Source organism: Homo sapiens, chromosome 6, assembly GCF_000001405.40.
Source record: "Homo sapiens chromosome 6, GRCh38.p14 Primary Assembly".
Taxonomy (NCBI): domain Eukaryota; kingdom Metazoa; phylum Chordata; class Mammalia; order Primates; family Hominidae; genus Homo; species Homo sapiens.
This window is the reverse complement of record NC_000006.12, coordinates 68,037,782-68,050,823: the sequence shown is the minus strand read 5'-3', so window position 1 is coordinate 68,050,823 and position 13,042 is coordinate 68,037,782. Positions and strand designations below refer to the sequence as shown.

Genomic DNA, 13,042 nt, shown 5'->3' with positions numbered 1-13,042 from the left:
ACTTAAAAGTAACCAAGATGTCCTTCAATAGGTGAAAGAACAAAGAAACTTGTATATCCAAATGGTGGAATGTTATTCAGTGATAAAATGAAATGAGCTATTAAGCCTTGAAAATTTATGAACTTAAATACATATTAGTAAGTGAAAGAAGCCAATCCGAAAAAGCTACATACTATATAATCCCAACTCTATGACATTCTGGAAAAGACAGAAATACAGAAAGAAAAAAAGTTCAGTAGTTGCCAAGTGCTCGGGGGGTACAAGGGAAGGATGAATAGATGCAGAACAGGGTATTTTTAGGACAGTGAAACTATTATGGGTGATAATATAACAACAAATACTAACAAATAAATATCATTCATTTCTCAAAATCAATAAAATGTGTAGCACAATAAGTGAATGCAAATGTAAACTATGGATTTTAGCTAAAATTATTGTGTCAATGTTGGCTCATCTGTTATAACAAATGTACCACACTAATGCACAATATTAATCATAGGGAAAATCAGGTTTGGGGATGGGAGCCAGGAGGTTTAAGGAAGCTCTCTGCACTCTGCTCAATTTTACTATAAATTTAAACGACTCTGAAAAATGAAGTCTACTAAGTAAAAAATTAAAAACATGGTGCCAGTGCAAATAATCCGAATAATTTTATTGCCTTACATGGTAGACACCAAAGTATGAGAAACTATTCTTAAAGTAGAAAAATTGCTTTAAACAAATTAATCTCATTTATTCAGTCTTTTAAAAAAATTTTCAAAACTAATGTGTTTTGTTTTGTTTGGTTTTTGCGTATTTCCAGGCACTTTCACCTGGAGAAAGTGTGTGATATTTGGCTGTGTGTAGGTAGCAATGCATTAAATCACAAATTAAGGTTTTTATTTGCATCTAGCCAATGAAATTCACACATTAGTAAACTCTTCTCAGAATGAAACAGTTGGCTGATTTAAATTATGGTTATTACCCTAAGGGCTTGATGCAGTGCTACTCACGTCACAGATTGGTTTATTTGTTACATATAAGCTGCAACAAATTTAGGGATAAAAGGGAAAACTGCTGACTAGGGTACTTCTGATACATAGGAATGCTTAACTGGAAATTTTGCCATACTCTGTTATTACACTGGCCCGGCGAAACAGAGCCTCTGTCCGCTGTATTGACATCACCAAAGCGAGGCAATATACTTTTGGTGCTGGATGTCCATGAGACTCATATAAGCAGATGTGGTCTAAGGTATATTTCAAATGCCAAAGTTGATTTTAGTTAATATCTATCAAAAATTCCCATTTTATGGGTTAGTGTAGTCTCTGTTTTTTAAATTGTATATTGACAAATTATGGTTGTATATATTTACAAGGTACAAGGTGTTGCTATAATTTTTGAATACAATGTGGAATGATTAAACTAAGCTAATTAACATACTTATCACCTCAACTATTTAACAGCTTTTGTGATGAGAACATTAGAAATTAACTGTCAGTAATATTGAAATGAACAGTATGCAATTATTAGCTATATTTAACATGCTATGCTTTTGAAAAGAAGTCAGGCTTATTCCTGCTATCTAACTGAGGTTTTGTACCCTTTAGCTATCATCTCCCCATTGCCTCTAACCTTCAGCCTCTCGAAACTACCATTCTACTTGGGTCTTCTGTGAGTTCAATTGTTTTAGATTTCACACGTAAATGAGAACATGCAGTATTTGTCTTTTTGTGTTTGGCTTTTTTCACTTGTATAATCTCCTCTACTTCCATCCATGTTGTTGCAAATGACAGAAATTCTCCCTTTGATAAGGCTGAATTGTAGTCTACTAAGTATATATCCCACGTTTTCTTTATTCATCTATCCCATGATGGACCCTTAGGTTGAATTAACATCTTGGCTATTGTGAATAGTGTGGCAATGAACATGGGAGTGCAATACATACTGATTTCAAATCTTTTTTTTTTTTTTTTTTTGAGACAGAGTCTCATCCTGTCCCCCAGGCTGGAGTGCAATGGCATAATCTAGGGTCACTGCAACCTCCGCCTCCTGGGTTCTAGTAATTCTCCTGCCTCAGCCTCCTGAGTAGCTGGGATTACAGGCACCTGCCACCACATCCAGCTAATTTTTGTATTTTTGGTAGAGACAGGGTTTCACCATATTGGTCAGGCTAGTCTTGAACTCCTGACCTCAGGTGATCCACCCGCTTCAGCCTCCTAAACTGCTGGGATTACAGGCATGAGCCACTGCACCTGGGCGATTTCAAATCTTTTGGGTCAGTAGTCAGAAGAGGGATTGCTGGACCATATGGTAATTCTATTTTAGTTTTTCAATGATACTTCATGCTGTTTTCTATAATGGTTATACCAATTTACATTTCTACCAAGACTGTACAAGTGTTCCCTTTTCTTTACATTCTTAACAACCATTGTTATTTCTTGTCTTTTTTATAAAAGCCATTCTAAAAGGCGTGAGGTGATATCTCATTGTGTTTTAACTTATGTCTGCCTAATGATTAACAATGTTGAGCATTTTTATGTATCCGTTAGCCATTCCTTTGTCTTCTTTTGAGAAGTGTTTATTCATGCCCCTTGCTTGTTTTTTAATCAAATGATTTCTTTTTTCTTTTATAGAGTTGAGTTTCTTCTATGTTTTGGATATTAGTTCTTTATCAGATGTATGGCTTGCAAATATTTTTTCTCAATCCAAGGATTGTCTCTTCACTGTTATTAATTATTTCCTTTGATAGGCAAATTTTAAAACATTTTGTTGTAATCCTATTTTTCTATCTTTGGTGTTGTTGCCTGCCCTTTAGGGGTCAAATCTAAAAAATCATTGCCCAGCCCAATGTCAAGTGGTTTTTCTTCTTCTTTTTATTTTTTTCTAGTAGTTTTATAGTTTCATGTCTTAAGTTTAAGTCCTTTTTTTATTTTAACTTTTCTTTTATGTTCAGGGGTATATGTTAGGGTTTGTTACATGGGTAAGCTTATGTAATGAGGGTTTGTTGTAAAGATTATTTAATTGCCGAGGTATTATGCTCAGTACCCAAGATTTGCCTTTTCTGCTCCTCTCCATTCTCCCACCTTCCACCCTCAAGTAGACCACAGTGTCTATTATTTTCTCTTTTGTGTCCATGTGTTCTCATCATTTAGCTCCCACTTATAAGTGAGAACACGCAGTATTTGGTTTTCTGTTCCTGCATTAGTTTGCTAATTATAATAGCCTCCAGCTCCATCCATGTTCTGGAAAAATATATGATATTATTCTTTTTATGACTGCATAATATTCCATGATATATATGTACCATATTTTCTTTTTCCAGTCTGTAATTGATGGGCATTTAGGTTGAATCCATGTCTTTGCTATTGTGAATATGCTGCAGTGAACATTTGCATGCATGTGTCTTTATGGTAGAATGATTTTCCTTACACCATATGCAAAAATCAACTCAAAGTAGATTAAAGACTTAAACGTAAAACCCAAAACTATAAAAATTCTGGAAGACAACCTAGGCAATATCATTCTGAACACAGGAATGGGCAAAGGCTTCATGACAAAGACACAAAAAACAATTGCAACAAAAGCAAAAATTGACAAGTGAAATCTAATTAAACAAGAGCTCTGCACAACAAAATAAGTATCAACAGACTAAACAGACAATCTACAGAATAGAAGAAAATATTTGCAAACTATGCATCTGACAAAGGTCTAATATCCATCTTCTATAAAGAACTTCAGCAAATTTACAAGACAAAAACAAACAACCCCATAAAAAAGTGGGCAAGGGATATGAACAGACACTTTATAAAAGAAGATATACATGCAGCCACCACCATGTGAAAAAAAGCTCAATATGACTAATCATTAGAGAAATGCAAATCAGAACCACAGTGAGATATCATCTCAAACCAGTCAGATCCGCTACTTTTAAAAAGTCAAACAATAACAGATGCTAGCAAAGTTGTGGAGAAAAGTGAACACTTATGCATTGTTGGTGGGAGTGTAAATTAGTTCAACCATTGTGGAAAGCAGTGTGAGATTCCTCAAAGAGCTAAAAGCAGAACTCCCATTCAACACAGCAATCCCATTACTGGGTATATATCCAGAAAAATGTTTGTTTTTCATCCATTTTTTTAGTTGATTTTTGTATACAATGTGAGATAAGGGGCCAATTTCATTCTTTTGCATGTGGATACCAAATTTTACCTATACATTTATTGAAGAGACTGACCTTTTCCCATTGTATATTCTTGACACCTTTGTCAAAGACCAATTGATCACCAAAGTATGGATTCTTTTCTGAGCTTCCTATTCAACATACGCAAATCAATAAATGTGATATACCACATTAACAGAATTAAGCAAAATCATATGATCATCTCAGTAGACAATGAAAAAAAGCATTTGGCAAAATCCAATATCCTTTCATGATACAAACTCTCAAAAAATTATGGGTTAAGGGCAGGGTTAAGATTAGAGTCAGAAGGAAAAAAAGAAAAAAATATTCAGTATAGAAGAAATATATCTTAACACAATAAGAGCCATATTTGAAAAACCCACAGCTAACATCATACTCAATGTGGAAAAGTTGAAAAGTTTTCCTCTAAGATCCTAAACAAGATAAGAATGCCCACTTGTACTACGTCTATTCAATATAGTAGTAGAGGTCTTAGCCAGAGCAGTGAGGTCAGAGAAAAAAATAAAAGATATTCAAATTATAAAGAAAGAAGTTAAATTATCCCTTTTTGCAGATAACATGAATTTATACATAGAAAACCCTACATTTTCCACTGAAAACACTGTTTAAACTGATAAGTTCAGTAAAGTTGCAGGATACAAAATCAACATGCAAAAATCAGTAACGTTTCTCTGCTCTAACAATGAACTTTACCAAAACAAAATCAAGAGAATAATTCCATTTACAATAGCTATGAAATAATTACAAATACATTTAACCAAGAAGCTGAAAGAGCTGTACACTGAAAATTATAAAACATTAATATAAATTGAAGAAGATATAAATAAATGGAGACGTATCTTGTGTTCTTAGATTGGAATAATAAATGTTGTTAAAATGTTTGTACTACTAAAATGTTCTACAAATTCAATGTAATTCCTAACAAAACACTATGTGTTTTTTCATAGAAATAGAAAAAAGTAATCCTAAAATTCATATGAAAATGCAATAAACACATGAATAGCCAAGGAAATCATGAGCAAAAAAAAAAAAAAAAAAAAAAAGCTGAAGGCATCATACCACCTTATTTCAAACTATGTTACAATGTGATAGTAGTTAAAACGACATGGTACTAGCATGAAAACTGACACATTGATCAATGGAACAGTTTACTTTCTTTTACTAGTCACTTTAAGGTGCTTTATTAGGTGTCAGTACCAGAGACCAGTTATATTGAGAAATTCAGAAATGCATAGCACTTCATGCGTAGAGAATGAGAGGTTGTCCTGAGATATTCAAGAAATAAAAACCTCAAAGTAAGTATAAGGAAAAACACGTGAAAGATCTTGCTAAGTCAGACATTATTATTTTCTACAATATGAAATTGCATTAGCATTATGGATATAGTTAGCAAGTATGTACAGGAATGCACACACGCATATACTTTTCAGGCAAGAACACACTTGAGAGACCCAAACTAGCACATAGAAAAAGTTACCTGAGGACATGTTCTATTTTCTGTAGTTATTTTTTTTTTCTTAATAAAGCTTCTAGGTTAAGACATCACTGCATTTCAGCATATATTTATGATAACCTCTTTATGCCAGTCAGCTTAATATTCTGAACTTTCGATTTATTTCCCGTTTCTGTAACCCAGATAGCAACCTCCAAAGTGGAATTTTGCTGAAATTTTTATAAAAGTAGATGTAATGTGAGTATCTCTTTTTTCTCAGATGACAGCAATATCCTTTGAGAATCTGAATGAGTAGTGAACAGCCAACTTACTTGTCTGTCATTTAGTTCTTATAAAATAATACTCTTACTTTGGCCCCTTTCCAGTTTCTCTTTGTATTTCTTTAGTCTAATTATTAAAGAGTGTGAGAATATAAAATTGATTGCAAATATATTACTTATTTCAAGTCTTATCTTGCTTAAACCAATCCTGATTATAGTTTGCTTTGTCATAAATCTCTCAATTTGAAAACCGATATTTTCAAATACCACTCCTGCAGAAGCTGGTGGAAATTATTATTTTAAGCTAACAAATGTTTAAATAAGGTTTACATTGTTTCAAAATATTCTTATCAGCTAAAAATCAGGATTTTATACAGGTTGGGAATTCACCCAGAGTCTGATTTTATTTATTGTTCAACATGACTCTGGGGCATTTTAGGACCCAGATATTAGCAGAAATTGCTGGAACTCTGAATAGAATGCAAGGTGGAAAGAGTGACATTAGCTCAGGACAAGAACTCAGGTGGTATTGCACATTGCTGCCTCCAGAAGAGTTGATTCCTTCATCTCACTCAACCTCACTGTTGTGCTTACCCTGATTTTACAGAATCAATATGATCTCAAATTTTGGAAAAGGAATGGATTATTAAACTAATTTAATTCAATTTAAAATATTTAAGTTTAAATATGCTCTAAACCATATATTACATAATAATCTTTTGTTAAATCTATACCTTGTTTTTCCAATTTCTTATTTTTCTGGACATAATTACTGAATTATAGGCACTGAAAAATTATAACTGAGGATATTGATTCTTAAAATGTTTAATTTCTTAATATTTGAAGTGTTATTGATTCATTACATTGATATGCTTACAATTGCCCAGAAATTACATAGCAAACGGAGTTCAGTACTCAACATTTTAAAATTTATATTTTCTTTTAATAACTGTAAAAATCTCTTGTTTTCCTACCCTCAATTTAAAAATGTTGGACTATAATTTGAGTATCAATGTTCCATCTACGATATTATCTAAATCACTCAAGAGAATTCTGGAGAAATTTATTATGCCTATTATATAAATAGTTGTTGTTCACATCCAATTATATAAATTGCAGCCTGGAATTCATGATACCTTTCCTACAGCAGGAAGCTTATTTCTCTGAATGAGAATCTTTAGATTAGATGTTTTTAGGATTGCCAGAAACTCATTGGGTATTTTTTTCAACACAAAGGAAATCCGATTATTCTGCCACTACTTGTAGTATGTCAAAAAGCTCAACATGCAGTGCCCTATCTTTGCTCCTGCAGAGTTCAGACTCTAGTATGATTTTTGAAGCAATTTGCAAAGTTAAGGACAAAGTTAGTAAGCTGTAAGCATGTATTAAAATATCCTTACATTAAATCAGATATCTTCAGAATATAGTAGAGGGGCTTTTTTTTTTTTAATAGCAATTCAGGCCTAATCAGATTATCTTTTTTCCTAAATAAATTGGCTATTTTTGTCCTTATTTTCTTTATCTCCACCTACAAAATCTAACCCAAAGATTATTCTATTTACCCCTTGTTGGAAGTTTTTTTTTTTTTTTCTTGATGTTTTTAGAGCAGTTTTAGGTTCACAGCAAAATTAAGAGGAAGATACAGAGATTACCCATAAAAACCCTTCCCCATTTTTACCATTCCCCCACCAGTGTGGTATATTGTTATCACAATTGTTGAAATTACACTGATGCATCATATTGTCCAAAGTCCATAGTTTATATATGGGTTCACTCTTGGTACTCTACATTTTATAGGTTTTGACAAATGTATAACATGTATGTACCATTATGAAATCATACTGGTTTTTACTGCTCTGAAAATCCTCTGTGCTCTGACTATTCATTCCCCACTCTTCCATAACCCATGGCAATCACTGATCTTTTCATTGTTTCATAGTTTCACCATTTCCAGAATGTCATAAATGGAAATTATACAGTATTTAGCCTTTTCAGATTGGCTTCTTTCACTTAGCAGTATTTAATAAGTTAATTTCATAACTTTTCATGGCTTGATACCTTATTTCTTTTTAGCGCTAAACAGCATTTCATCATTTGGATGTTCCATATTTTGTTTGTCCATTAACCCATTTTAGGAAAGCTCAGTTGCTTTCACATTTTGTCAATTATTAATAAAGCTGCTTTAAACATTCACGTGCTGATGTTTCTATGGACATACCTTTTTCAGCTCCTTTAGGTACATGCCAAAAAGCTCAATTGTTAAATCTTATAATAAGGGTATGCTTAGTTTTGTGAAATGCTGCCAAACTAAGTTCCAAAATCGTTGTCTCATTTTGCAATGAATGAGAGTCTCTGTTGCTCCACAGCTTCCCAGCATTTGGTGGCTGCAGTGTTCTTGGATTTTGGCCATTTCAATAGGTGTGTTATGGTATCTCATTGTTATTTGAATGTGCATATTTCTGATGATACACGGTTTGGGCATCTTTTCATATGCTTTTTTGCAATATTTATGTATATTTTTGGTGAGGTTTCTGTTAAGGTCCTTAGCCCATTTTTGAAAATTGGAGTTTATTTTCTTTAACAGTCCTTTATCAGGTATGTGGATTGCAAATATTTCCGCTCAGTCTGTGGCTTCTCTTTTTATTCTCTTGACAGTGTTTTTTTGTTTTTGTTTTTGTTTTTTTCAGAGAAGGAACTTTTAAGTTTAACTTATCCCTGTTTATTAATTGTCTATTTCATAGATCATGCCTTTGGTGTCCTATCTAAAAAGTAATCACCATCCAAAGTCATCTGTGTTCTCTCCTATGTTATCTTCCAGAATTTTTATAGTTATAAAATATCCATTATGGTGTAAAATATCCATTTTAAATTAATTTTTGAAAAGGGAATAAAGTCTGTGCCTGGATTCACTCATTTGCATACAGATGTTCTGTTATTCCAGCACTGCTTGTTGAAAAGATTATCCTTTTCCCATGCTACTGCCTTTGCTCTTGTCAGAGATCTGTTTGCTGGATTTATATAAGTCTATTTCTGAGAACCCTATTTTATTCCACTGATATATTTGTCTATTTTTCCCCAATACAATACTGTTTTGAACACTATAGTTTTATAGGGAGTCTTGAAGTCAGGTAGTGTCAGTCTTCTGACTTTGTTATTCTCCTTTAGTATTAAGTTGGCTATTCTGGGTCTTTTACATAATTTCCATGTAAACATATGTTTAAATTTATTTATATTCGTTGATATTTTCAAAATATCTTGCTGAATTGTAGGGCATTGTTGTTGCTGTTGTTTTTAATGTTGCTAAATTAATCCAGTCAAGAACTCAAGCTTGATTTAATTGGCGGAATTATGTAATTAATCAGGGTAGTTCCTTCGTTTAACTAGTTATGAAATTATCACTGGATCCACTGAACCAAAGGTTACTGAGTGCTTATAATTATGTAAAACATTATATACAATGTTCCTATCCTTATTACAGTCAGCCTAAGTATTCTGTCATGTATCCAACTGCAATCATATCGCTTGATTTGGGTACAAAATAGGGTAAGTTGAAAAGGTAGAAGGCTGTTTTTTAAGGGTAGTAAAAAAAACTGCAGTGAATTTAAAAGCAAGTGAACTTAGTTTTTTTTTTTTTTTCCCTGTCCTCTATAGGAAAAAATAACAGTTACTAAGTAAAATGAAAACATTGATTATGTGTTAGACTGGTGGTCAGGGTGAACATTTACATCAACATGAAACCATGCAATCTGTATCACTGCAATAATTATATATTCAATCAGATGTATTTCAGAGGTATGTATGGTTAATACCGTGGAGCTGAGGTTAGGGAAGAAGAAAGAACAATGTACAAGCTAGCAAAGAGGCACAACACAAGCATTTAGATGTGCATTTGTTACTCTGCAGGCACTTAGAAGAGTAGAGAGGAAATAAACACAACGCCAATATGATAAAACAAACAAACAAACAAACAAACAAAAAAACAAAAAAACCTTGTGATCCAGAGGAGGTGCCAGCTGGACTTCCTGGGTTGAGTAGGGGCTCAGAAAGCTGTGAAAGTCACTCATTTCCTGCATCAGGACTTACTTCGGTCCTGGATGAATAATATTGAAGATACATGCTTAAAATATTCCTAACACCAGGATCTGTGCATGTGTTTTCTTCCCCAAGAAAGCTATAAACATCGAAACTTTTGCTGTAAGTTTCCCTGTGTCCTCTCTCTCTCTTTCTCTTCCGCCTCCCCCGAAACTAAAGTAAAAGGAACGTTAACTGCCTGTTTTTCTGTGACCAGCGGACCTTATCTATCCTCCCAATTCCAATTCCTTGAAAACATACTTTGTAACAAAGTCCTGTAAGATCCCGTCTCCTTTGCCATGCTGCTGCAAGTTCATAAAGTAGATAAAACCTAAGTTGCAATTCCAGTTTTCCTCAAGATCTAAGACATGTTACAAACGGTTAATTGCCTTTGTTTCTCGCTCTGGTAACATCTCGCCACACGTATTTCCGGCCTTAAAGAGTTTAAAAGGCAGTCACATAATCTAACTCTGGCTACCCGCTCGGGACCCCTTCCACACTGTGGAAGCTTTGTCCTTTCAATCTGCTCAATAAAGCCTACAGCCTTTTTCTCTCTCGGTCTGTGTCTCTATCCCTCACCACGGTCAGCTGCCACACAAATTCTTTGGCGTGGCTAGGCAAGAACCTTAGGCATTACATAATGATAAGTGAATAGTAGCATTTTTGTTCAAATTGTGCCCAAATGATTTTTTATTATAATTTAACTTATTGCATAACCCTCCCCCCCATCATTTCTAGGTCCTGAAAATATCCATCTACACATGCATGTTAATAAAACAATTTATAACAATCCAGTCTTCTAAATGTTCATATTTATCCTATTCTAATTTATTAGGGAGTACCTTTATATCAATGTAAAAACAGACTAATACAGAGAATTGGTACTGGGAGTGGGGCACTGCTATAAAGACAACTGGAAAAGGTTTGAAAAATTTGCAGCCTGACCCTGTGGTAGAAATGAAAAACCCATTTTCTGGGGAGGAATTCAAGCCTGCTGCAGAAATCTGCATCATAAGTAAAGACGAGCTGAATGCTAATAGCCAAGACAATAAGGAAAATGACTTTGGAACTGGGTAACAGGCAGAGGCTTTAACAATTTGGAGTGCTCAGAAAAAGACAGAAACGTGGAAAAATTTGGAACTTCCTAGAGACTTGTGGAATGGTTGTGACCACAATGTTAACAGTGATATGGACAATAAAGTACAGACTGAGGTGGTCTCAGATGGAGATGAGGAACTTATTGGAAACCGGAGCAAATATCACTCTTGCTATGATTTATTAAAGAGATTGGTGGCATTTTGTCCCTGCTTTAGAGATCTGTGAAACTTTGAACTTGAGAGAGACGATTTAGAGTATCTGACAGAAGAAATTTCTAAGCAGCAAAGTATTCAAGATGTGACCTGGCTTATTCCAAAAGTGCTCAGTTATATGACTTCCCAAAGAGATGGTTTGAAATGTGAACATGTTTAAAAAGGAAGCAGAGCAGAAAGGTTTGAAAAATTTGCAGCCTGACCATGTGGTAGAAATGAAAAACCCATTTTCTGGGGGAGGAATTCAAGCCTGCTGCAGAAATCTGCATCACAAGTAAAGAGGAGCTAAATGTTAATAGCCCAGACATGGCAGCTCCTCCCTTCACAGGCCCAGAAGCTTACGAGGGAAAAATGGCTTCGTTTGCTGGACCCAGGGCCCTGCTGCTCTGTGCAGGTTCCAGTCTTGGTACCCTGTGTCCCAGCCACTCCAGCTCCAGCCGTGGCTAAAAGGTGCCTATATACAGCTCAGGCTGTTGCTACAGAGGGTGCAAGCCCCAAGCCTTGGCAGCTTCCACTTGCTGTTTTGCCTGGGGGTGCACAGAAGACAAGAGTTGAACTTGGGGAGCCTATGCCTAGATTTCAGAGGATGCATAGAAATGCCTGTATGTCTGGGCAAAAGTGCTACAGCATTGGAGCTCTGACGGAAAACCTCTACTAGAGCAATGCAGAGGGAAAATGTGCAGTTGGAGCCCTCATACAGAGTACCACTGGGGCACTGCCTAGTGGAACTGTAAGAAAAAGGCCACAATCTTCCAGACCCCAGAAAGGTAGATCCACCAACAGCTTGCACCATGCACCTGAAAAAGCCACAGGCACTCAACACCAGCCTATGAAAACATCTTCAGGGGCTGCACGCTGCAGAGACATAGGGGCAGAGCTGCCCGAGGGTGTGGGAGCCCACCCCTTGCATTAGCCTGCCCTGGATATGAGACACAGAGTCAAAGGAGATTTTGGAGCTCTAAGATTTAATGACTGCACAGCTGGGTTTCAGACTTTCAAGGGGCCTGTGTCACCTTTGTTTTGGCCAATTTCTCCCATATGAAGTAGAAACATTTACCAAATGCCTTTACCCACATTGTATCTTGGAAATAACTAACTTGCTTTTGATTTCACAGGCTCATAGGCAGACGGGACTTGCCTTGTCTCAGATGAGCCTTTGGACTTGGAGTTGTGAGTCAATGCTGGAATGAGTTAAGACATTAGGGGACTGTTGGGAAGGCATGATTGGTTTTGAAATATGAAAAGGACATGAGATTTTGGAGGGACCAGGAGCAGAATGAAATAGTTTGGCTCTGTATCCACACCCAAATCTTATCTCAAATTATAATCCCTGCATGTCAAGGGGGGAACCTGTTGGGAGTTGATTGGATCATGGGGACAGTTTCCCTCATCCTGTTATGATGATAGTGAGGGAGCTCTCATGAGATCTGATGGTTTTAAAAGTGGCAATTTTCACCTATGTGTGTTCTCTCTCTCTCTCCTGCCACCACGTAAGACGTGCCTTATTCCTTTTCACCTTCGGCCATGATTATAAGTTTTCTGAGGCTTCCCCAGCCATGGGGAACTGTGAGTCAATTAAACCTCTTTCCTTTATAAATTACCCATTCTCAGGTAGTATCTTTATATTAGTGTGAAAACGGACTAATTAATATACCAGGTCAGCACACTTTCTATAATAAGCCACATAGCAAATATTCTAGCCTTTGCAATTTAGATAGATTCTATCCTTACTATTCAAATAGCCACTGTAGGACAGCCAAGGGCACTA

General features: G+C 35.4%; 2 annotated features.

The window, feature by feature from the left end:
- Positions 11,067-11,757: an enhancer, noted in NCBI's record as "OCT4-NANOG-H3K27ac-H3K4me1 hESC enhancer chr6:68748959-68749649 (GRCh37/hg19 assembly coordinates)". NCBI's record gives its function as "activates a minimal SCP1, AML or CMV promoter by ChIP-STARR-seq in naive and primed H9 embryonic stem cells {active_cell/tissue: H9 hESC(naive and primed)}" and the evidence as "EXISTENCE:reporter gene assay evidence [ECO:0000049][PMID:30033119]".
- Positions 11,758-12,450: an enhancer, noted in NCBI's record as "OCT4-NANOG-H3K27ac-H3K4me1 hESC enhancer chr6:68748266-68748958 (GRCh37/hg19 assembly coordinates)". NCBI's record gives its function as "activates a minimal SCP1, AML or CMV promoter by ChIP-STARR-seq in primed H9 embryonic stem cells {active_cell/tissue: H9 hESC(primed)}" and the evidence as "EXISTENCE:reporter gene assay evidence [ECO:0000049][PMID:30033119]".